This window comes from Homo sapiens, chromosome 16 (genome assembly GCF_000001405.40).
Source record: "Homo sapiens chromosome 16, GRCh38.p14 Primary Assembly".
Lineage (NCBI taxonomy): Eukaryota > Metazoa > Chordata > Mammalia > Primates > Hominidae > Homo > Homo sapiens.
The window spans coordinates 27,679,987-27,704,862 of NC_000016.10; the positions used below are offsets into that span (position 1 = coordinate 27,679,987).

Below are 24,876 nucleotides of genomic sequence, written 5' to 3' on the forward strand. Positions count from 1 at the left end.
GAAGTTGCTTATTCCACAAAGCCTTCTTCACACTCCCACCACATCCACTTGGGCCAGCCCTCCCCCGTGCTCCCATAGCATCATCATGGCGCTGGGTTCACTGGCCCCAGTTGTCTTTCTCTCCACCCACCACACCTCCCCACCCACCAGCCTGTGGGCACAGGCTGGCTCTTACCCTCCACTTCTCCAGCATGCAGCACACGCCCAGCACATTGCAGCCCCTCAGGGAACCTTTGTCAAATAAACAAAGGTGTTAGGCGCACCTGCGGGAGCAGCAAGTGGTCAGGGCAGTGTTAATAATGGTCCCACGTGGGACCCACTGGGCCTGCAGACAGCATGGCTGCAGGGGAGACGGGGAGGGAGGGGACAGGGCTCTAAAGAGGTGACTGAGTCTCCACCCTGGAAAAGCAGGGGACCTGACAGTCATTCCTGGGTGTGAAGAACCAGGCCACAGAACAGCTGATGCCAGCACAGTTCGAGTGATACTGGGGCATAAAGTGAGAAGAGAGAATTTGAATTTCTTGACATTTTTCATGTTTTGTTTTGTTGGTTTTTTCTGAGATAAGGTCTTGCCCTGTCACCCGGGCTGAAGTGCAGTGGCACTATCATAACTCACTGCAGTCTCAAATTCCTGGGAGGGATCCTCCTGCCACAGCCTCCAGAGTAGCTGGGACTACAAGCACGTGCCAACACATCTGGCTTTTTTTGCAGAGGGAGGGTGGGGCGGGGAACGAAGTCTTGCTCTGCCCCCCAGGCTGGAGTCAGTGGCACAATCTCAGCTCACTGCAACCTCCATCTTCTGGGTTCAAGCAATTCTCATGCCTCAGCCTTCCAAGTAGCTGGGATTACAGGTGCTTGCCACCGTACACAGCTAATTTTTGTATTTTTGGTAAAGACAGAGTTTCACCATGTTGGCCAGGCTGGTCTCAAACTCCTGACTTCAGGTGATCCACCCGTCTTGGCCTCCTAAAGTGCTGGGATTAGAGGCGTGAGCCACTGTACCCAGCCTATTTTGTTCATTTTTTGCTAGAGACAGGGTCTCACTATGTTACCTAGGCTGGTCTTTATCTCCTGGGCTCAAGCAGTTCCCCCACCACAGCCTCCCAAAGCACCGGGATTACAGGTGTGAGCCACCGCCTGGCTGCCTAGCCAGGAAACATTAAAATTTGAAAACCTGTGCATGTCCTAGAATCTTTTATGTACTTACCAAAATGTGGTGCTGGGCACACCATGACTCTCAGCAAACTTGTTTCGTCGCCTGCATTATTCACATCTCTAATCCCAAACTGCACAAAGTAGTTCCGTAGACATTTGTTGAATGAGTAAGTGAATGAATGATGAACAAATGCCTGAACAGAATGCCCAACTTGCTTGCGCTCAGCGTCTTACATGAAACAATTGTTTTCCTACAGGTCATAAAAGGGAAAGGAATTTGTCTGCAAAGCGGAAGGACAATGCTGAGGTTTTCGTTCCCACCAAACCTGAGCCAAACCTGACTCCCCAAGCTCCTGCTGTATTCCCAGACCAGGAGAGGATGTGCTCCAGTAAGAGTTCCGGGGGCCCCTGAGCAGGGGAGCAGGGCTGCGACTGGGTCACTCTCTGGGGTGCCATGATGGGAGGCCGCACTTCATTACCCTCCTTGCAGAGGGCTAGCTGCCCTTTAGCAAATGTATTAGTCAGGGGTCTGCAGAGGAACAGAATGAAAAGGATATGGAGGGAGAGTGAGAGAGAGAGCTTAGGATAAGGAATTGGCTCATGCAGTTGTGGAGGAGCGAGTGCGCTGTGCAGGAAGAGCCTATGTCAGAGGTGAAGTCCAAGGCAGTTGACTGGAGAAGTCACCCTCACTTGGGGGAGGGCTGGTCTTTTTGTTTGATTCAAGCCGTCACCTGATTGGCCGAGGCCCACTCACATGGTGGAGGGCAATCTGCCTTACTCTCCTGATGAATATGTTAATGTCATCCAAAAATGCTCCTTCAGAAACACTCAGAATAATATTTGACCAGATATCTGGGTTTCCTGTGGCCCAGTCAAGCCAACGCATTAAAGTAACCATGAGAGTGATTTTCTGATTCCACCACCAAGGTGTGGTTATCATTGAAAATTTCTTTTATTTTTGTTTTACTCTTAAATGAACTTGCTTACTTCAGATGAGTAATAATATGTGCAAATGGTACACAATTCTGAAAGTACAAAAGAGTCGATGGTGAACAGACCAGCTTTGTCTATGTTCTAATGACATGAGAGGTTACATTTATTCACTACTTAGGATGACCCAGCCACTATCGTAAGCTTTTACTTCTACCATCTCACATAATCCTTATAACTAGACTTTAAGGTAGGTTCTGCAATTGTCCCCATTTCACAGACGAGGAACTGAGGCACACAACGTGCAAGTGGCAGCTGAGGCTTTGTAGCAGGGGCTACCATGTTGGTTTACATTTCAACAAGATTCTTCTGGCTGCCACGTGGAGCCTGGCCTATAGGGAGCTGGGGAGGATGCGAGGTGACCAAGGAAGAGACCAGGTGGTTCAAGATGTAGAGGGTGGGGGCTCAGTCTCGATGTTACCAGGGGATGGATCCAGACAGTAATTGGGCTTGCTAAGGAGCCAGTTGTAGGTATGAGATTAGTTGTGACTTTCTATCCTAAATAACCTAGGGTAAGAACCTGGGCGCTGGGGAGCCTACAGTGATGGGGGGCCATGGCTTATCATGTGGCTGGGTGGCATGGTTTGAATATTTGCCCCCTCCAAGACTCATGTTGAAATTTAATCCCCAATGTGGCAATACTGAGAGGTGGGCCCTTTAAGATGTGAAGAGGTCATGAAGGCTTGTCCAGTGGATTAATGCATTCATGGGTTAATGGATTAAAGGGTTATCATGGGAGTGGGACTGGTGGTTTTATAGGAAGAAGAAGAGAGACCTGAGCTAGCACACTCATCCCCTCACCATGCACTGCCTCGAGACTCTGCAGAGTCCCCACCAGCAAGAAGGCCCTCGTCAGATGCGGCACCCTTGACCTTGGACTTCTCAGCTTCTATAACTATAAGAAATAAATTCCTTTCCTTTTGATATTACCTAGTTTCAGTTATTCTGTTATAAGCAACAGAAAACAAGATTAAGGCACTGGGATAGGATTTGAGTCTGTGTCACTAGCAAAGGAGACTGAGGCAACCCAGGTCCCGGAGTTGGGATCTGTGCATGCACAAGCCATGCAGTACCAAGACCCCTGTCCTAAGTCTCTGATCTGCATCCTGCTTCAGCCTGTAGTGACCAGGAAGAACTGTGGCTAACTGGAGCCTGCATCCCAGTGGGGCCTTCAAAGTACCACAATCAGAGTGGCTTAAACAATGGAAATGTATCATCTCACAGTTCTCGAGGCTGGAAGTCTAAATTCAAGGTGTTGGAGGAGCCAGACTCCAGTGGGGCAGAGCTATCCCCAAACTGGTTCCTGGGGACTTTTTGGTGGGACCCAGAGCCTGGAAAGAGGCCTGCCTGGGGCCCGAGGAAGGTAGGAGTGGGAGGCAACCCCTGTCGGCATGTCAAGGTTCCTGCAGCCAATAGCGTCACAGAGTTGTCACATTGTTAACTAGATAATGGAGAAATGATCTGTAGGGGAAAAGAGCCAAATAGAACATGAAAGATGTCAGAAAAGTCTGGCGAATTTTGATTCTGTCAACTTTGGTGAGATGGGAGCTGGGAAAGGGAGAGAGAGGAGAAGGAGGTATGGGGCGAGATAAAGGCCTGAGTCTGCTTTCGGAGCTCCCTCAGCAGGTGGGGAGTAGGGGTGGCAGTCCCAGGTGCCATTGTTCCTTCTGCATCTCCTAGATTGGCCTCACCGACTGCTGTTCAGGTTGACAAGCCTCCAGTCTATCCTGCTGGTACTGTCTTCACTATCTGAACCAATCTAAATGGCTTTTCAGAAGTTCCTCCAAAACAAGTTGGTAAAAAAGTATGCCACTGCACGAACCCCCCTAGAGCCCCTAGTAGGGCAGGAGTGGCACGGTGGTGGTCGTGTACCTTTCCCAGCATCCTACTGAGCTAACTGGGACTTCCCTCCTTTGTATATGTGCCAAGATTGCTATTTTTTCCATATTCAAGTAACAAAATTAAGGGTCAGTACTTACAAAGCACTGAACTAGCTCCCAAGCTGTGTGTAGGACTACATATGTAATCTTGCATTTAATCATCCACACAGCCCCGTGCAATAGGTACTGCTATTATCAATATTATTGTACAGAGGAGATGGAGGCACAGAGAGGTTAAGGAATCTGTCCAAGATCACACAGCCTGTAAGTGATGAAGCCAGTATTTGAGAACCTGGGCTGCAGAATCTCTGCTCTTAATTACTCCACTATAAGCCCCTCTTGTGCCAACTAAACTATTATTTGCTTAATTACCCACATTAATTACCACTTAATTAATACCCACGTCAGCCTAGTCCTAAGCAGTAACATGCCTGAAAATCAGAGGTTTGAGTCACTTGTTATACTTTTTTCTCATGCTCATCAATATATATATATTAGTATTTTAAAAGTTGAACCATGTATCAACTAAAATCATCTGGCATAGTGCATTAGCTTGCTAGGGCAGCCATAACGAAGTACCACAATCAGAGTGGCTTAAGCAATGGAAACGTATCATCTCACAGTTCTCAAGGCTCCAAGTCTAAATTCAAGGTGTTGGCAAGGGCCATTTTCTGAAGGCACTGGGGGGTAGTCCATTCCAGGCCTCTCTCCTAACTTCTGACAGTTCCTTGGCTTGTGGCAACATAACTCCAATCTGTACATGGTATTCTCCATGTATGTCTCTGTCTCTGTGTCCAAATGTGCCATTTTTATAAAGACAGATGAATGCCCAACCTAATGACTTCATCTTAACTTGATCATCTGCAAACACCCTATTTCCAAATAAGGTCACAGTCACAGGTACTAGGGGTTAGGGCCTCAATGACCTTTTTAGGGGACACAATTCAACCCATAATATATGCTTTCATGTCTAGCACTTTGAGAAATAGAGCTTAATTAATTTATGATCTGCCTTTTTCCAAAAAGTTCTGACATGGACTAACAAAGTTTTATATACAGTGAGTAGTGCAAGACTTTGAAAAGTATTTGAGGAGGCCAGGCGCAGTGGGTCATGCCTGTAATCCCAGCACTTTGGGAGGCCAAGGTGGGTGGATCGCTTGACCCCAGGAGTTCAAGACCAGCCTGGGCAGCATGGCAAAACCCCATCTCTACTAAAACACACACAAAAAATTACCTGGACATGGTGGCACGCACCTGTAATCCCAGCTACTCGGGAAGCTGAGGCAGGAGAATTGCTTGAACCCGAGGGGCAGAGGTTGCAGTGAGCTGAGATTGGACCACTGTACTCCAGCCTGGGCAACAGATCGAGACTCTGTCCAAAAATAAATAAATAAAAAATTTAAGAAAATGAAACTAGAGAGAAAACAAGAGTAGAAAAATAAGATGAAACCAGGGGGTGAACAAATGAATGCCTAAAGTAGTCACAGCTGTAACACTGAGCTTCCTGGCCACCATGGCAAAGAAGCATGCGTTCATACAAAAAATGCATGTCACTGGGTCCATTTAATAAAGATCAGATTACCAGCTATTCCTGGTATTTAGTTCTTAGGGTAGTTTGTTCCATCAGTACTCCTAAAGAGGACACTATTTGAGGTAGTGGAATTCTTATTTTGAACAGGTTTGGAGCTCAGCCTTTGCTTATTCAATATACTTGGCTCTAACATAAGTCAAATTTGAAGAAAGAGTTCTGTGGCTAAGAGGAAAGCTGAAAAGCCTGGCATTGTCACTGCTCTCACACTGAAATGGGATTATGGTAGAGCCACATCTCACCTAGATATTAGGCTGTAAAGGAAGTAAAAAGTGCAGGAGACCAGAGTTACCGTTAGAAATCCCTCAAATTGATGATTAAGTGCAGCATGTATTGGTTTATACAGATGACCTCATACAGATACATGAACTCTCAGTAAGCCCAAGACAGTCTGTCTCTCCTCCAGTGTGGGAAAAATCACAGCTTCTTGGCTGAGCCCCAGAAGAAGCAGCTGGCCTTGTTTAGGGTCAGGGTTGTAGGGGAAATGTGTGTTTTTAGACACTGGCATCATGCTCAGAACACTGGGATGTTCACACCACCAGAGACACAAGGAACCTGAAACTTCCTAAAAGTGCAGCAGAATCACAAACCAACTCACTCTCCTCAAGGCAACATCTGGAGGGTGGGCTGCTTGTATGCTTTACTCTGTATCTGGGGTCGGGGAGGGATGTCTTTTTTGGTACATACAGAATTTGACTTTTTATATCTTCTAAGGGAATTGAACCTTTTATCATTATGTGTTGTTTCTCACTCTAGTAATGCTTTTTGCCTTAAAGTCTACTTTGTCTGATATAAAGCTACTCCGGCTTTCTTTTGGTTAGTATTTGTATGGTGTACTGTTTTTTATCCTTTCAGTTTCAAACTTTCTGTATCTTTATATTAAGGTTTGTCTCTTATAAGCAGCACGTAATTGGTTTTTAGTTTTATCCTCTAACAATCTATGCGTTTTAATGGGAGCATTCAGTCCATTTATGTTTAATGTAATTGCTGATATATGTGAGTTTACATCTACTATCTTATTGTTTGCTTTTTATTTGTTTTTCCTGTTTTATGTTTCTCTTTCTCTCCTTTCTTGCCTTCCTTTGAACTGATTGCTTTGTATTATTTCTCTTTTTTCCTGTCTATTAGCTTGTTAGTTATACATTCTTTTTTTATTATTATTCTAGTCATTACCAGAGATTACAACATGCATTCTTGACTTACTAGGGTTTACTTTAAATTAGCAAGTTTACCACTTCTCATTTATTGGAAGTATCTTACAAACTCTAACTCTATTTTTTCCTTTCCCAACTTAAATACTGTTGTATGCATTTTAATTCTCTCTAGCTTTTAAACACCACTAGACATTATTTCTAGTGATTATTACTACTGATTATTATTAGTAGTAGACATTATTACTACTGATTATTATTTTATATAATCAGCAGTAATTTGGATTCGCCCACATTGTTAACCTTTCTGTGCCCTTCACTCCTGGCTACTTCCAGGTCACCCTCACTCCCAGACTGTAGCCTCTGAACCTGTTGCCAGCTCTGCTCAGCTTCCCAGCCTTGTGGCAGCTCTCATCAGAATCAGTAGCACCTTAAGAGGAAAGGCCTCCAAGACGTTGGGTCTACATCTCTGAGTTTCTTTCTCCAGTCTACTATATCCCTGTAATTCTTCACAGCCCTGTTCATTCTCCATGCCTTCAAACGATCTCTTTTTTTTTTCAAATAGATTTTTTAAATATTTAAAAATATTTTCTAGGTTTCCTAGTTGTGTTCCAGCAAGAGGTTGGTCTGAATTAGATAGTCTGCTATTCCAGAAGTGTAACCTTTTGCTTGTACCCCATAAAGAGTTATTTCTCCCCTTGCCCCTTTTTCTTAGACTAAGCCCATAAAATTGAATTTGTGTCAATTAAATGTGTGTGTGATGCAACTCCAAGAGAGCTTCATTCCTTTCTATCACTGCAACTGTCCCTAGTTCTAATGAAAGGGCCTCATGTCCTCTATTGCTCCAACCTCAATCCGTAAGCCTTCCAGAAAAGCTAATATAATCTCCTTCTAGAAACCTGTTGTCTTCTTGAGGGTGAAAGAACATTAGTCTTTAATGCAGAAAGTTTACTGTCCAAGTTGTCACAGTGCTCTAGGGAAGTGATATATCTGAACCACTTTTCCCAGACAAGCTGCCAACCACAGAAATAAAGCAACACCCCTCAGTGTGAGTGAATTAGAGGAATTTGACAGCCCTGTACTTAGTGTTCCTGTCAGGAAAACCTGCAACAGCAAGACCATTCTGCCAAAGTCCAGAGACTCTTAATATATTAGCCAGCGTTCATTAACAGTAAGTGACAGAAACCCTAATCAGCCCAAGCAACAAAGGAGAATGTCTTGCTCACAGACCTAAAAATTCCAGAATAGTAGAATTGGCCTCAGGGATGGTGGGATCCTGGTGCTCAGATGGTCTCTCGGGAAGCTGTTTCATCACTTAGCTTTACACTTCTCTAGCCCAGTGGTTCTCAAACTTGGACATGCATCAGAATTACTTGCAAAGCCAATTAAAACACAGATTGTTGGCCAAGCATGGTGGCTCACACCTGTAATCCTAGCGCTTTGGGAGGCTGAGGCAGGAGACTCATTTGAACCCAGGAGTTCAAGACCAGCCTGGGCGGTGTAGTGAGACCTTGTCTCTATTTTGTTCTTAAATAAAATAATAATTAAAATAATCAGATTGGCCGGACATGGTGACTCACACCTGTAATCCCAGCACTTTGGGAGGCTGAGGAGGGTGGATCTCCTGAGGTCAGGAGTTCAAGATCAGCCTGACCAGTACGGTGAAACCCCATCTCTACTAAAAATACAAGTTAGCCGGACATGGTGGCGGTCACCTGTGGTCCCAGCTACTCAGGAGGCTGAGACAGGAGAATTGCTTGAACCCGGGAGGCAGAGGTTGCAGTGACCCAAGATCGCACCACTGCACTCCAGCCTGGGCAACAGAGTGAGACTCCGTCTCAATAAGTAAAATAAAATAAATCAGATTATTGGGCCCCAATCCCAGAATTTCTGCTTCAGTGTGTCTGAGGTAGAGGTAAGTGTTTTAATTCCTAGCAAGTTCCCAGGCGATCCTGACATTACTGGTTTAGAGAACACACTTTGAGACCCATGTCTCTAGTTACTACCAGGCAGGCATTTCATTGATGGCCTAGAGATGGCCCCCAGTGGCTCCAGGCTTCCTTTACTATCTGCTTTGCAATCCCCAGGTGAGAGAGACAGTTCTTTTCTTAGTTCAAGAACCAGCTCTCTCCTGAACCAGCCTCCCTCCTCCATGGTCAGGGAGAGGTAGTCTGGCATGGCCCAGGCTGAGCCAGAAGTGGAGTCAGATCTGCAAAGATCCACTACAGCCAGGGCCAGGAGTGGGGTCATAGCCACCCAAAAGGCTGAGAAAGGTGAGGAAAGAATGGTTCCCTGAAGGAAACCATAGGTGCTGTGAAGATCATAGTGCCAGGTAGACAAAAGCCACTGCTATCCATTTCATATAAAAATGAACCACATAGGTGGCCAGGCGTAGTAGATCATGCCTGTAATGCCAGCATTTTGGGAGGCCAAGGCAGGTGGATCACTTGAGGTCAGGAGTTTGAGACCAGCCTGGCCAACATGTCAGAACCCCATCTCTACTAAAAATATGAAAATTAGCTGGGTGTGGTGGCATGTGCCTGTAGTCCCAGCTACTCAGGAGGCTGAGGTTGGAGAATCACTTGAACCTAGGAGGTGGAGGTTGCAGTGAGATCACGCCACTGGACTCCAGCCTGGATGACAGAGTGAGACTCCGTCTAAAAAAAAAAAAAAGTCAACCACATAGGACATTTTGCCACAGATTCTACGGAGGCAGTGTAGAGCAATGGACTGTAACATCCAAGAGTAGAAGTCATTTAGTCTGGGGGCCTTGATTGCTGTCCTTGAAAATCACCCGCACTCCTGGGCTCAGGGAGAGACAGTGGCAGAATGATGACAGGGCTGCAGACAGCACCTGCCATCAAGAAAAGTCCCAAAAGCAGCTTTAGAGATGAGAAGAACACAGGCCTTAACAAGCCAGGTCTGTCGGCTAACTATTACTGCCTGACAACCCACCCCAAAATGTAGTGGCTTAAAACAGCAACCGTTTTATGATTGCTCATGAGTCTGTGGGTGGACTGGGCTGTTCTGTAGTGAGCTAGCAGGTGGCTGGGCCAGATGGTCTAGGACAGCCTTACTCACATGTCTGGCAGTTTTGTTTGTCCTGAGGACCTTGGCTAGGACAGCCCATCTTGGCCCCATAGAGTCTTATTCTCTAGCACTGGTGATTTCAGGGCAGCAAGAGAGGACAAGCCCATGCCTGGGTGCTTTTTAAAGACTGCTTGGTCATGATTGCTAATGTCCTGTTAGCCAAAGAAAGTCACCAGGCAGGGCCGGCTGCAGTGCCTCATGCGTGTAAGCCTAGCACTTTGGGAGTCCGAGGCGAGAGGATCACTTGAGCCTGGGAGTTCAAGACCAGCCTGGGCAACAAAGTGATACCTCATCTCTACAAATAATAATAATAATAATAATAAAACTAGCTGGGTGATGTGGTGCATGCCTGTGGTCCCAGCTACACAGGAGGCTGAGGCAAGAGGATGACTTGAGCACAGGGAAGTCAAGGCTGCAGTGAGCCATACTCATTCCATGGCACTCCAGCCCGGGTGACAGAGTGAGACCCCATCTCAGATAGATAGATAGATAGATAGATAGATAGATAGATAGATAGATAGATGATAGATAGATAGATAGATAGATAGAAAAATAAATAAAAATAAAATGAAAGCCACCAGGCCAAGCCCAGCTAGAGAAACAGACACTAGCTCCTAATGGAAAATGCTGCAAAACCACATTGCAGCGGTCCACATACAGGGGTGGGAGGAATTCGTGGCCACTTGTTGCAGTTCCCGATGCCATAGGAAGCAGGTAGCCTGATGACGTTGGCCCATTTGGAAATGCATGGAGGCTTTGGAGCACTCAGGCCTAGAACATTGTCCCAGGGCACACTCTCCCTTCCCCACCTCCCTCTTGGCTTTTAGAAGTGAGTGTGGACATCTGAAGACAAAACAAGGCTATGTCTACCATTTCCCTGGACTTTTTGCCACACAACATAGTGTACAGTTTCAAGGCCTACCAGGCATGTGACCACAGGGAGTGGGGTGCACTGTGGAAACTGGAGCATTTCAGCCCTGTCGAAAGGGGGCGCCATCACCTAGCTCCAGCCGATGGTTCCCACATATGAATACTGTTCCAGGGTTGCCAGATGGTATTACTTTTCAGGAGATGCCAGGAATCCCAATTTTCAGGTGGATTTCCTTTTTTTTTGAGCTTGGCATCTATTTTCAATTTTTCTAAAAAAGTGAAAGTGACACAATACATCTCTGTAGGCAGGTTATGCCTGTGGGCTGCCGGTTTATGATTGCTATAATAGACCCTTGTTGTCCTTAAATTTCATATTCGCCATTTCGGTGGCTTCCCAGGTGACCTCCAAGGCCCCTTGCATGTAGAAAGGGGTAATTTTGCTGAGACTCTGAATTTGAGCTTTTCAAGTCACAGCTGGTGGCTGGTGAGCCGACCGGCAGCCTCGTGCCCTCACGTCTTCTGTGTGACATGTGTTGCATTCATGGTAAATTTCCTGAATTGATACACCTTTTGTTTCTCTGTGAGAGAGAAGAAAGCCAAACACTGGTGAAGTGAAGATAAAGCAAAGTTATCGGAAGAGGGATGGTTCTCAACCAGAAAAGAGCAGTTTGGGAGAAGTTAAAATGTGCAATTTGGCTTTTGCTGGTGGCACAAATGGACTGTGTGAATAGATCCACCATCCTCTAGGTCTGTGATGGGAATAAATCCACCATCATGGGGTATTCAGGCTAGCATTCGCCCAAGTGAGCGATGAGAGCATCAAAAAGAATTAAAAGGTGGTTACCTCGTGTGCACGTGTGTGCGGTGTGAGGGAGTGCACAGAGGGAACGTGATTTTGGAGAACTGGGGCGCCATGTAGGACGGTTCTGGAAAGCCAGGATGGGAAAAGCTCTGGTAGTGGAGCTGCAGCATTGACCTTCACTTGGAGAAAGGGTGATTTAATTTTTAAAAGCATGTTCTTAGCATAATATGACTCAAAGGGCACAGACAGCACCTGATGATCATGTTGCTGGAGGAGCATTTCCTCCCAAATGAAAGACGCTCAGGGGCAAAAGGGTCTGTGCAGATAAAACTGGTCTCTACTGGAGAAAGATGCCTTTGTGACTCTCCTTGTCCAAGAGGAAGTGAGCATAGGGCTGCAGCAGCCAAGGACAGATCATCCCGCCTGCTCACAGGTCATGAGACGAGCTTCCAAGCTATCTCAGAGGCCTCTTGTTCCATCCCAGCCCCAGACTGATGAGGCATAAGAGGAACAGGCTCTTGCCCAAAGATTGGCAGTAAAAAGATAAGGGTCACCACATGGTTCTTTTTAGACAAATTTTATAAGTGCTTCATGCGGGAAATGGTGAATGAGCTTGTGAATTTCAGGTTCTACTTGTCCTGGTGCTGCCCAAGCCTTCTACCAATGCTGGTGTTTGCACCCCACGTGTCAGGTGCTGGTGCATTTGTTTAGCTTTGACACAATCTTGGTCCCTTATTTATGGAATTGTCTATAGGGTCTAAAGGGAGCTTGATTTTTTCAACTGTGCTTTACTACAGATGATGGAGAGAACCATGTGGTTGGGTGATATTCACAAATACTTAGATTTACAAGGTTTGGGGTTTAAGTCATTTTTCATCCATCCATTTAGCAAAAATTATAATGCCAGGTGTCAGGGATACAACAGTAAACAAGATGGGTATGACCTCATGAAGTAGCTGAGGCTCTACAAGAACTGAGCCCGCAACCTCTCCACCCTCGTTGCTAACCATCCTTCCCCTTGCCCCCCATTCCAGCCCCCTTGCCACTCCTCAGTGTGCTGAGCTTGACCTACCAGGGCCTGGCACCTGCTGTTCCAGGCGAAGGGAAGAGCAGGGTATTCCCAGGGCTCACCGCCTTCGTGTCCCCACTCAGATATCCTCTTCCCAGATGGTACATCTCAAATGACAGTGCGTCCCCTCCCATCATGAGCAGCCCCTTACCCTCTGCATGTACCTGACCCATGTCTGTCTCTGCTTTGTGACTACAAGGTCAATGAGGGCAGAAAGTGTGCCCGTTCCTCCGACCCCTGTACTCCCACACCAAGAGCAGCATCTCACTCAACCAAAGAAGCTCACAGCATAGTGCAGGTCGTAAGCCTGGTAACGAAGTACCTTTGACTTTGTGGATAACTCATTTCTGCGTTAGGGGCGAGGGTGTGTCTATACTTTGGGGTGTTTTGGCTTCAGCTCCAGTATAGCTCAAAACCACATCCTTCAGCTTCCTTCACTCCTTTTGTGGTCCTCCTGGCTATTTCAGGACCTGATCCTTTTTGCACTGAGTAAGGAAGATACTGGTGAGATCTTCCCCATCCTTTTACCTGTTGCTTGTTTCCATAACAATAAGAATCTGCAACATAGCTTGCTAAACAGAGTTTCTTCCAAACCTCATTCTCAGCCCATGTTTGCTTTACTTTCTCATCTCTCCTGTTGCCCAGCAGGCCAAGTGACAGATGAGAAGGGCAAAGCAGCCTCCAGTGGGCGAGCAGAATCCCTGGCTCACATGTCTGGCAGCTCCTTACCTCTCTGTCCTCAGGAGCAGCATCAGGGATGATGACAAGAGACAGTACATCAAAGTCTGAAAATGGCCCACTTGATTTTTTCTTTTCTTTTTTTTTGAGATGGAGTCTCGCTCTGTGGCCCAGGCTGGAGTGCCGTGGCATGATCTCGACTTACTGCAACTTCTGCCTCCCGGGTTCAAGCGATTCTCCTGCCTCAGCCTCCCAAGTAGCTGGGATTACAGGCGCCCGCCACCATGCCTGGCTAATTTTTGTATTTTTAGTAGAGATGGGGTTTTACCATGTTGGCCAGGCTGGTCTTGAACTCCTGACCTCAGGTGATCCACCTGCCTCAGCCTCCCAAGGTGCTGGGATTACAGACGTGAGCCACTGCGCCTGGCCCCACTTGATGTTTATTGCTCAGAGCAGCCATCCACAGGTGCTGTGAAGGTTCCTCTAGGTGCCTTGACCCTTCTCAGGGAGCAGCTGGGACGTGCCCTGGCCTGTACTAGAACAGCCAGTGGGTTCTGTTGGCCCTTACAACATTTCTTAGAAACTGGAAGACATTATGAACAAATAAAATTCAGGGGATTTCACATATATTTCAGATGGTAGCTTTTCTTGGGGGAAAAAAAAGCATTTGGTAACACTAGGAGCACAGTCCCATAAGGCAAGGATTGTCTGGAGCTGGGAGGTAGGTGGCTTCTATTCAGTGGCACTCGGCCCCTGGCATTCAGTGACACTGAGATGGTTCTTGGGGCATTTGCACTCACAGCCCCTTTCTTGGGTGCCTGGCAGAACTTGCTATTCCTTCATTTTAGCTTAGCATTCCCATAAAAACCTACCATCATCCCCATCAGCCCAGTGCCTGGCTGTCCTGGAAAGCAGCCCAGTAGAGCCTCCAGGTGTCTCCTGCCTTCTCCTGCCAGTGACATTCTTGATGTTGCTACCTGAACATTCAGACACAGCATTCTAATGGGGCGTAGCAAGAGAGTCAAGTGCTTCGACAGGAGCCCTTAATAATCAACAGCTGATGGTTTGCTAAGGTCCTGAGAATGGAAGCATGCTGTTTTTCAGAAAGCCTTGTACCAGGTCACAAGTATACATAGATCCCCCAAGATGTCATACCTGTAAATTTCATTAGTTTGTTTTAGGCCAACATTAATACCAATCTTTGATACCCTTAAATGATCCAATCCAGTTGCCTATGTAAAATTTACATCTCCAGGCCAGGCACGGTGGCTCATGCCTGTAATCCCAGCACTTTGGGAGGCCGAGGTGGGTGGATCACTTGAGTCCAGGAGTTTGAGACCAGCCTGGGCAACATGGTGAAACCCCGTCTCTACAAAAAATACAAAAATTAGCTGGGCATGGTGGCGCATGCTTGTAGTCCCAGCTACTCAGGAGGCTGAGGCTCAAGAATTGCTTGAACCCCAGAGGTAGAGGTTGCAGTGAGCCGAGATTGTGCCACTGCACTCCAGCCTGGACAAGGGAGACCCTACCACAATAAATAAATAAATAAATAAATAAATAAATTTACATATCCAGCCTAGACTCTCTCAAACTCTGGATTCCTGCGTGCACAGGTCAACTCAGCAGCTCTGTTCTGATGCCACACTCACATCTTGAACCCAGCTTGTCCCAAATTGAGCCCTCTGCTCCTCCCAAACTTCCTCTACCCACAGCCTTCCACAGCTCAGCTGAAAGCAACCCCGTCTTCTACTTCAAGCCATCACTCGTGGAGTCACCTGTAACTCCTCTCTTCCTATCCCATCCACAGCTGGACTGTTAGGAAGTCCTATTGGCTCTGTCTCTGGCAGATGCCTGTAATCTGACCACATTCTGTGTCCCCTCCTCCACCGCTGTTGCCTCCTGTCTCCTGGACAACTAGTAGCCCCTGGCCATCTCCCTGCTTTCACCTCCTTTCAGTCTCTTCTCCACTCTGCACCTACATCAGATCTGGTCTTCTGCTCTGAATTCCTCAGTGGCTCCCCATTTCCCGCAGAGCATGGGCCCTACAGTGCCCTGCAAGGCCCTGCATGACCTGCGCTCCCCCAATCCCTTTCAGGCCTTCTGTCAACCTATACCCCTGCTGGCTCCGCTCCAGCCCCATGGGTACCTAGCTGCTCAGAGAACACATCACACGCCTCCCATCTTTGCGCTGGTGCCTGGAGCACACTTCCCTGGTCCTCTGCGAGGCTCTCTCTGCCCCTGATATCCACACTCCAGATCTCCCTTACCCCGATCTGCTTTGCATGGTTTTTCATGTCAGTTTCCACATCAAACTCTGTGTTTTAAATTTATTATTTCTCCAGCTTATGGTCTCTCACCATGTGAGTGGGGGACTTGGTATCTCTGGTCACTGCTGTGTCGCCAGTGCCAAGAACAGAGCCTGGCACAGATAAATATTTCCCCAAGGGTTGAGATTCAGTAGGTAAACTCTTTAAGCACCCCAAAGAAATATTTGGAGCAGCTCTATATTTTAATGGAGTATGTTTTAATATGAAAAAAATCCAAACATAAATAATTGAGAGGATGTTACACTGACCTCCCCTCCCCGCCCCAATGTATCCATCCATTACCCATCCTTGGCAATAATCAATTTACAGGCAATTTCATCTCGTCATCACCCCTACCCATTCCCCAGATTTTTAGGAAGCAAATGGAAGCCTTCATATAATTTTACCTGCAGATATTTTAGTATTCTTTTCTTTTTAGAGCGTCATTGTACTCTGTTGGGTGGGTGTACCATAATTTATTAGATGCTTAGTTTTATTAGGTGCTTCTTTTATATCACTGTATATTTTATAAAACCATCTTTCCATTCATGGGAACTTCCAGAATCAACTGCAACTTTGCAATACTTGTTTTCTTAAATTGGGGTGTTATTACTTTGTAATTCTTGTTACCCGTGCAAAAGTAAAACAAAAAAGCAATAATATTGCAAAATACCCATCCTTCTTCCTAACATTATATATTATTCTTTACAGGTATTCTGTAAGAAAGTTAATTTTTTAAATAAGTTTTTGTTTTGATGCAATTTTATTTTTTATTTTTATTTTTTTAACTTTGAGTTTCAGGAATACATGTGCAGGTTTGTTACATAGGTCAACTGCATGTCACAGGGATTTGGTATACAGATAATTTCATCACCCAGGTAATAAGCATAGTACCTGATAGGTATTTTTTCTGGTCCTCTCCTTCCTCCCACCTTCTGCCCTCAATAGACCTCAGTGTCTGTTGTTCCCCTGCTAGTATCCGTGTGTTCTCATTGTTTAGCTTATAAGTGAGAGCATGCAATATTTGGTTTTCTGTTCCCATGTTAGTTTGCTCAGGATAATGGCCTTCAGTTTCATCCATGTTGCTGCAGAGAACACGATCTCATTCTTTTTTATGGCTGTATAGTATTCCGTGGTGTATTCTATAGTATTCCACATTTTTTTTCTTTTTTTTTTTTTTGAGACAGAGTTTCACTCTTGTTGCCCTGGCCGGAGTGCAATGGTGCGATCTCGGCTCACTACAACCTCTGCCTCCTGGGTTCAAACGATTCTCCTGCCTCAGCCTCCCAAGTAGCTGGGATTACAGGTGCCTGCCACTACACCCAGCTAATTTTTGTATTTTTATTAGAGACAGGGTTTCACCATGTTGACCAGGCTGATCTCGAACTCCTGACTTCAGGTGATCCACCCACCTCGACCTCCCAAAGCGCTGAGATTACAGGCGTGAGCCACCACACCCGGCCTCCACATTTTCTTTATCCAGTCTACTGTTGATGGGCATTTAGGTTGATTCCATGTCTTTGCTATTGTGAATAGTGCTAGATGAACAGACATGTGCATGTGTCTTTATGGTAGGATGATTTATATTCCTTTGGGTATATACCTAGTAATGAGATTGCTGGGTCAAATGGTAATTCTGTTTTTAGTTCTTTGAGGAATCGCCATGCTGCTTTCCACAATGGCTGAACTAATTTACACTCCCACCAGCAGTGTATAAGCATTCCCTTTAATCCCCAACCTCGCCAGCATCTATCTGTTAGATTTTTACTTTTCAATAGCCATTCTGATTGGTGTGAGATGGTATCTCCTTGTGATTTTGATTTGCTTTTCTCTAATGATTAGTGATGTCAAGCATTTTTTCATATGCTTGTTGGATGCATGTCTTGATAAAATTTTAAACTTAAAGTAACATTGTAAGGATAGTACACTGACGCTTCCACCCTTCACCCACATACCCAGATTCACCAGTTAACGTTTTACTCCAATTGCTTTTGCTTTATATTCTATGTATATATATAATTATATAAAAATTATATATAATTATACAAAAATTATATATACAGAAATATTATGCACACACATATGTGTATGCCTGCTATCATGTATTGATCTGTAAATTAAATTATATAACTGCAGATAAATTGATCGATAGAGGGTGTGTGTGTGTGTGTAAATATTTGAGATGAAGTTGCAGACATCATTCCCCTTTACCCCTGAACTGTGTTTGTGCATGTGCATATGTGTGTGTGCATGTATGTGTGTAAACTATTTGAGATGAAGTTGCAGACGTCATTCCCCTTTACTCCTGAACTGTGTGTGTGTGTTTGTAAGCTATTTGAAATTAAGTGGCAGACATCATTCCCCTTTACCCCGAACACTGCTATATATATCTCCTAAAAACAAGGGCATTCATTTTACATAACCACAGTACACTAACAAAATTCAGGATATTTAGCATTACTAGAATACCACTGTCTAAGCCATAGACTGTATTTGAATTTTCCCAGTTGCCACAATAATGTTCTTTACAGCACTGCTCCCTCCCCAGGACCAAGTCCCCCCAGGGCCACCACTGCATTCAGCCGTGTCTGCCTAGTCTCCTGTAATCTGGAACCGTTTTCTTTGTCTTTTACCGCCTTGACATTTTTGGAGAGTATGGGCCAGTTGTTTTATAGAATGTTCCTCAATTGGGGTCTAATGGGTTGTGAGCTGCACTCCGAGAATATAATCTAAAAGAACGTCCCCCTGTCTTCTGCCCTCAGGACCTGGAAGCCGGCGAGAGAGACCCCTGTCTGCAACCCGCAAAACTCTTTGCGAGGCTGAGTACCCAGAGGAAGATGCCTCTGCTGTGCTCCAAGCCATCCAGGTGGAGAACGCAGCCCTGCAGAGGGCGCTCCTCAGCAGAAAGGCCGAGCAGCCAGCCAGCCCACTGCAGGTGCGCTCCGGGCTGGGAGAGGAACCGGGGGATGCTCCCTGGACTGGGCAGTGTCTGAGCTGCAGTTGAGAAGAGCAAGTGTGCAGAAGAGAGAGGTGTAGTGGGCATCGCTGACCCCAGACTCATCCGTGTTTCCACTGTTCAGACAGTCACCCACTGACCTGCTAAGGCTCCCTTTTCTTCCGCCTTCTTTTAGCTCTTTATTTCACAAAGCCTAAGCTGGGTGCTAATCTGCCTCCAGTCCTCATCCTCACTGATTTCCCTGCAAACCCTGGATACCTTAGACCAGGGTTGCAAACTGGTGGGTCAGTGAAGAATGGAGTCAACAACAAGCTCTGGCTTCCCAGCAAAGGTCTCATTCCCGAGCGTGGGCCCTTCAGGCCTCCGCAGTCGTCACTGCTCCCTATTGTCCTGCCCCTGGCCCACTTCACTTGTTCACAAAACCTCTCTGGGCCTACAGGGGTTTGAGCTTCCGCCTGCTGCCTTCAGCTTTGAGCAGCCAACAGGAGGATAAATGGTGGGTAGATCAGGGACCTTGGGGAGCTGGAGGCATTGGGTATAGCTTGGTGTGCACGTCCTTTCTCAGAAGCTTGGTCTGTGAGTCGCCTGTTGAAACCCTTTTTCTTAGCTTGTCCCCCCGATGCTCAGAGTAGCCCTTAAATAGGCAGGGTTGGTTTCATTGCCTCACTTCACAGATATGGCCACTGGTACCCAGAGAAGCAAGGTGGCCTGCTTCTCTCAAGGACAAGGTGATCACATCTTTGCAAGTGGCCGAGATCTGCCCGCCTGCAAGCCCAGGGCCCTGTCACCAGCACCGGTTGTTCCCCAGGCTCTATCTTGGGGTTGATCTTTGGGGCATCCATCGAGCAGCAACTATTGTCTGTGTTCCCAGACCTCTGACCTTGCCCCTGAACTTTATATCTATGGTAGCTTGAGAAGGTCCCTGCCCTTTTCTGTGCCCTCATCTTTCTGTGAACAGCATGGAGTGAATGGCTTTGTTCCAACATCACATCATGTGATCACATCCTTCCAGGATGCAGAAGGACCACCAGCAAAACCATGGACCAGTCTGCTGGAGGAGAAGGAAGAGACCCTTGAGGTCAGTGCTAGGCAGAGATGAATGACAAAGCCCCACGCATGTGCGTAGCTCCCGATGGTGCCAGGCAGAGATGAATGACAAAGCCCTATGCATGTGCATAGCACCTGATGGCCTCCAGGGCGCTTTCCTTCACACTGTCCTACCAGGTCCTCACTGTGTGCCCTGAGCACTGGTGTCATGCTGCCCATTTCACAGATCGGGAGACCAGGAATGGCGTGGCTTACCCAAGGTCACGAGTTGAAGCTAGAACTCACCCAGGCCTGCTGACTCAAACTGTTGTAATTATTTCTATTTATTTATTTTTTTATTTTATTTATTTTTTTTTTTTTGAGACAGAATCTCACTCTGTTGCCCAGGCAGGAGTGCAATGGTGCAATCTCGGCTCACTACAACCTCTGCCTCCCGGGTTCAAGTGATTCTCCCACCTCAGCCTCCCAAGTAGCTGGGATTACAGGCGCACAGCCACCACGCCTGGCTAATTTTTGTATTTTTACTAGAGACAAGGTTTCATCATGTTAGTCAGGCTGGTCTCGAACTCCTGACCTCAAGTGATCCACCCGCCTCAGCCTCCCAAAGTGCTGGGATTACAGGTGTTAGCCACCACGCCTGACCTATATTTCTATTTATTGACAAGACAATGCAAAAACAGATCTTAGTACCTTGAATAAATAAATTTTTTTATCTGTATCTATCTAGGTCAATTAAGTATATCTCAGCAAATTTGGTCCCAGAAAATAAGGAAGTGACTTAATAAAATGCCCAGGACCATCTTTGCTTGGTTATACACAGGTCTGTGCTGTGTGCTCAGAATGCAGAGGCAGCTGAGACAGATGAGCCCCAGCCCCATGCAGCTTACAGGCAACAGCAAATAAAACCATACATAAACAGGGTGATATCAGAGAGCGATGACAATCACAGCTGCTAATATGTGAGAGAATGACAGGGTGTGGGGTGGTGGCTGCTGCTCACAGGGTGGTCCTGGGTGCCCCTTGGAAGGCATGTCCCATCTGAGCTGAGCCCTGCCTGTTCGGAAGGCACCAGCAACAGGGAACGGCATTCCAGGTGGAAGGAACGGGGAAAAGCTTTGAGGTGGGAATGAGCCCAGCCTGATCAAGGAGCAGGAAGAAGCCCTTTGTGAGGCGGCGAAGTGGGGACGGGAGAAGCAGAGGGAGACAGAGCCCAAGTGGGACAGGGTGTGCATGTGACACCCCAGAGCACTGGAGCTGTTTGCTGTTTGCATTGCTGCCACTTGTCCTGCCAGTTCCCATCATCCTCGTCTGCCACTAGCCTGTGTTTCTGACAGGCCTGCAGTAACTGCCCAGGTCCGGAATTTCTGAATGACCTAATTCCTGACCCACAGAGATTCCAGGGACTAAAATCGTCTGCAGATGGACAGCAGGGCACATTTTTAGCGTCGATGACAAATGAAAAAGAAGGGGAAAAGGCTCAGAGAATTAAAAATGAAAGGGCCTAATGCTGTTACTGGAATTCTTCATAGAGTCTGCTTACTTTGTACAAAGCAGAACAGGGGCTTGGTTGAGATGGTGAGAGGATTTTTTTTTATTTTTTATTTTTTGAGACAGTGTCTCACTCTGTCACCCAGGCTGGAGTGCAGTGGCATGACCATAGCTTACTGCAGCCTCAAACTCCTGGGCTCAAGTGATCCTCCTGCCACAGCCTCCCAAAATGCTACAGTTACAAGCATGAACCATTGCGTCTGGCCAGTGAAGCATTTTGATAAGAGAAAGTTTACAGTCACTCATCGAAGTGGATTGTTTCCTAGGAGCGCCCTGGTCCTCGGAAGCTGAGATGGTGTGAGGGGTTCTAGATAGAAGCTCCAGGCAGTTGCTGTCACCCTCACATTCCTGTTCCTGTTTTCTACAAAGGGACTGTCAGCCTGAGCATGCCTGCCCTTGACCGTGACCCTGCTGTGTCTTAGGCCAGGAGTGTTGCCTGAGACATCTGTTTAATAAGCCTTTCCATCCTCAGCTGCTTCCCATCACCACGGCGACTACTACTCAGGAGCCGGCCGGGGCAGCAGGAGGAGCCAGGGCCATCAACCAGGCCATGGACAGAATTGGGCTTCTGGGAAGCAGGTACTACTAAGGCTGAGGCCAAACCCGAAACCCCTTAGCAGTGCAGCCATGGGGATCTTCTTCATGAGGGTTCTTTGCTTTTCCTACGTTTTTTTCAGACCCCTTATTTCTTTCTTTAAGATGGAATCTTGCTCTGTTGCCCAGGCTGGAGTGCAGTGGCACAAACAGCTCACTGCAGCCTCAAACTCCTGGGTTAAAATGATCCTCCAGCCTCAGCCTCCTGAGTATCTGGGATCACAGGTGTGTGCCACCGCACCCAGCTAATTTGTGTACTTTTTTGTAGAGGGGGTCTCACAACGTTGCCCAGGTTGGTCTCCAGCTCCTGGGCTCAAGCAGTCCACCCACCTCGGCCTCTCAAACAGGCGTAAGCCACTACACCTGACCCCAAACTCTGTTAAACTATTCCTTTAGACTATACTCTGTCTCCCCCACCAGCCCTAAAGCTCTCAAATTGACTTGATTTCTTTTAGGCATATGGCTCTTATCTTGGTCAGTTTGGCCCCAACCTGTGTAGAACTTGAACCTTCTCCAGGTTTCCAGTAGAATACCCCATGCAGCACAGGGTGTTAAACTTGTTCCCCAGCTGGTCTAGGGGGCGAGGTTGGCCCACAGCAGCGTCCTTCGAAGCTCCTTTTCTCTATTAAAAGTTTGTTCAAACTCAGCATTCTGTTCCATTAACGTGTAGCAGCAGTTATTGGAACTGTCAGGTTTTATTATCAAAATAAAGCCTTCCCTCTAGTCTTCAGACAAAATAGATCTTCAGAAAGATGCGTCAGGCTGAGAGCCTGTAGTTTCTAGCATGCCATGGCACACAGACACACTCTGAGGGCCACTGCACAGCTGTGCATGTTGTGCACTGTGCAAAGTGCCTGGCTGAGAGGCGAGAAGGGGCTGAAATCCAGCCTGTGTGCTGGTTACTAAGCTGAGGGTCTGGCCTGGGGCTGCATCAGCCCAGAAAGGGGGTGGTCGTTTTTCTGCATGAAGAAGGAATTCACTAGCCAAGCTGTGTGCCCTCCAGGTCTGTGTCTACCTAGAGGGAGCCCTTTGTTATAACTTAAAGGAAAACTGAATAGGCTAAAGGCAGCGCCATCCATTCCTTTAAGACTCTCCAGGCCCCAGGTGGAAATCAGGGCTGTGTACCATTGTGGCCATAATAAGAACTCGCAGATTCCCCTGCATGTGAAAAGGCCGCCCGGTGCAGTGGCTCATGCCTGTAATCCCAGCACTTACGGAGGCCCAGGTGGGCAAATCACCTGAGGTCAGGAGGTCGACACCAGCCTGGCCAACATGGCGAAAACCCATCTCTACTAAAAATACAAAAATTAGCTGGGCATGGTGGCGAGCCCCTGTAATCCCTGCTACTCAGGAAGCTGAGGAAGGAGAATTGCTTGAACCCCAGAGGCAGAGGTTGTAGTGAGCCGAGACTGTGCCATTGCACTCCAGCCTGGGCAACAAGAGCAAAACTCCATCTCAAAAAAAAAAAAAGAAAGAAAGAAAAGGCTGGGCCATGAGGATATTTTACATCTGATGCAGTTTTATTACAAGCAGCATGCACTCCGCCAAATGCTTGGTTCCTCGGCATCGAGATCCTTTGTGCTTCAGGGCCTTGGGGGTACCCAGCCTTAAACTGCACACGTGGGCATGTTTGCAAATGATGAAGGCACGCTCTGCTGGGTTTAGAATGCCATGTCCTCAGAAACAAGAGGAGCAGAGCAGATCTCCAGCCCAGGAGTCAGCAAATTGTTGCTATAAAGGGCCAGATAGTAAATATGCTTTGCGGTTGGTTTTGTTGTTGTTATTGTTGTTGTTATAGTTTGTTTCTTTGTACAACCTTTTAAAAACATAAACCATTCTTAGCTCACAGGCTATACAAAAACAGGTCACGGGCTGGATTTGACCCGTAGGCCTTAGTTCAGCTGACCTCTGCTCTTGACTCTCAAGTTCTAAGCTTAGGGAGGTCAGCTGGCCACCTTGCCCCAAGCAGTGTTTCCCCAGCTGGGCTCTGATTCCATCACTAATTGTGTAGCCATTTATAAAGGGAGAAAAACAGCAAGCCTGCCCTTGCCTTTGAACTGGATACAGAGTGCATACTTCCCCTTCAAATCATTTCCTATCCCCGAGTGCAGCACTTTTGATTGGAATGTTCTCTTTTGTGTATCATTTACTACTTCCTGTTTGCTAAAACCAAATCCCATTTCAGACAACAGCAGAAGCTTCTGAAAGTCCTCCAGGCCGTCGAAAGTGACTCTGCCCATCTCGGCAGGGTGGTTTCACCAACCAAGGAGCAAGTATCAGACACAGAGGTGAGAGCCTTGACTTGATTTTCAGTTGTACATTCAGGAAGTTCCCTCAGAACAGGCATTTCGCATCAGTGAGGATTGCTCTGACAGTGGTTAAATGAGCATCTCTCTGCCTGTGTTTCCACCGCCCCCCCCCTCCCTGGCACACAGAGGTATATATGATGAAGAGCAGGGGTAGAGAAAGGAAGATGTAGGCCAGAAGTTTCAGCAGAGAGAAGCCTGTCTGCACAAGAGGAAATATAAATAGCGTGGAAGCCCATAGGAAAATGTCCAACATCGCTGGCAATCAAGAAATGCAAATTACAGCAACCTAAATGTCCCATTTGAGCTCTGAATTGACAAATTATTTCTGATGATAACCTCTAGTGCTAGCAAGGTTACAATAAAGCTGCGGCAGTCCCACATACGTGGCAGGCAGCTGTATAAACAGGTGAAATCCTCTTGGAAAACAGAATGCTTGACCTTAGGAAGAGCCTGAGAAACACTTATGTCTTTCCGCCCCACAATCCCACTTCCTTATCTAAGGAAATCACCCCACAGAACTAAAAAGCTAGAGGCAGGAAGATGTCTGTTATAGAATTATTGGAAGTAGGGAAGACATTTTTTTTTAAAACCTAAATGTCTCATAACAATGGAGTTAATCAGGAAAGTATAATACATCAGCACGATGCAGTAGTATAAAAGGATGGAAGCTATCATTACGAGACGATGCAGACAGGAAACGTTAGAGATATCAGCCTGACTGTAAAAGGTGATGTTAATCTTCAAGTCCAAAATGATTGTGACAACCACACAAAGATGTGGCCATATGAGTGTGTTGATGGAGCTAGGACACAAAATACAAAAGGGAACTGTGGCATCAGAGTG

General features: G+C 46.7%; 1 protein-coding gene across 19 annotated transcripts in view, besides 3 other annotated features; it reads left to right on the top strand.

The window, feature by feature from the left end:
* KATNIP (katanin interacting protein) overlaps window positions 1–24,876 on the top strand; it is a 230,201-nt gene that overhangs the window by 129,843 nt on the left and 75,482 nt on the right. For 8 of the 19 annotated variants that reach the window (XM_005255201.4, XM_005255203.4, XM_011545776.3 and 5 more), the window contains 5 exons: window positions 1,413–1,544; window positions 18,342–18,514; window positions 19,494–19,613; window positions 21,603–21,709; window positions 23,910–24,012. In XM_005255201.4, coding sequence (XP_005255258.1) covers window positions 1,413–1,544; window positions 18,342–18,514; window positions 19,494–19,613; window positions 21,603–21,709; window positions 23,910–24,012 — 635 coding nt within the window. Of the gene's footprint in view, window positions 1–1,412; window positions 1,545–18,341; window positions 18,515–19,493; window positions 19,614–21,602; window positions 21,710–23,909; window positions 24,013–24,876 lie in introns of those variants that run through there. The other 11 variants (XM_011545775.3, XM_017023085.2, XM_047433842.1 and 8 more) reach the window with 4 other exon arrangements.
* Window positions 20,666–21,166: an enhancer, noted in NCBI's record as "H3K4me1 hESC enhancer chr16:27711973-27712473 (GRCh37/hg19 assembly coordinates)". NCBI's record gives its function as "activates a minimal SCP1, AML or CMV promoter by ChIP-STARR-seq in primed H9 embryonic stem cells {active_cell/tissue: H9 hESC(primed)}" and the evidence as "EXISTENCE:reporter gene assay evidence [ECO:0000049][PMID:30033119]".
* Window positions 22,272–22,773: an enhancer, noted in NCBI's record as "NANOG-H3K4me1 hESC enhancer chr16:27713579-27714080 (GRCh37/hg19 assembly coordinates)". NCBI's record gives its function as "activates a minimal SCP1, AML or CMV promoter by ChIP-STARR-seq in primed H9 embryonic stem cells {active_cell/tissue: H9 hESC(primed)}" and the evidence as "EXISTENCE:reporter gene assay evidence [ECO:0000049][PMID:30033119]".
* Window positions 22,774–23,273: an enhancer, noted in NCBI's record as "NANOG-H3K4me1 hESC enhancer chr16:27714081-27714580 (GRCh37/hg19 assembly coordinates)". NCBI's record gives its function as "activates a minimal SCP1, AML or CMV promoter by ChIP-STARR-seq in primed H9 embryonic stem cells {active_cell/tissue: H9 hESC(primed)}" and the evidence as "EXISTENCE:reporter gene assay evidence [ECO:0000049][PMID:30033119]".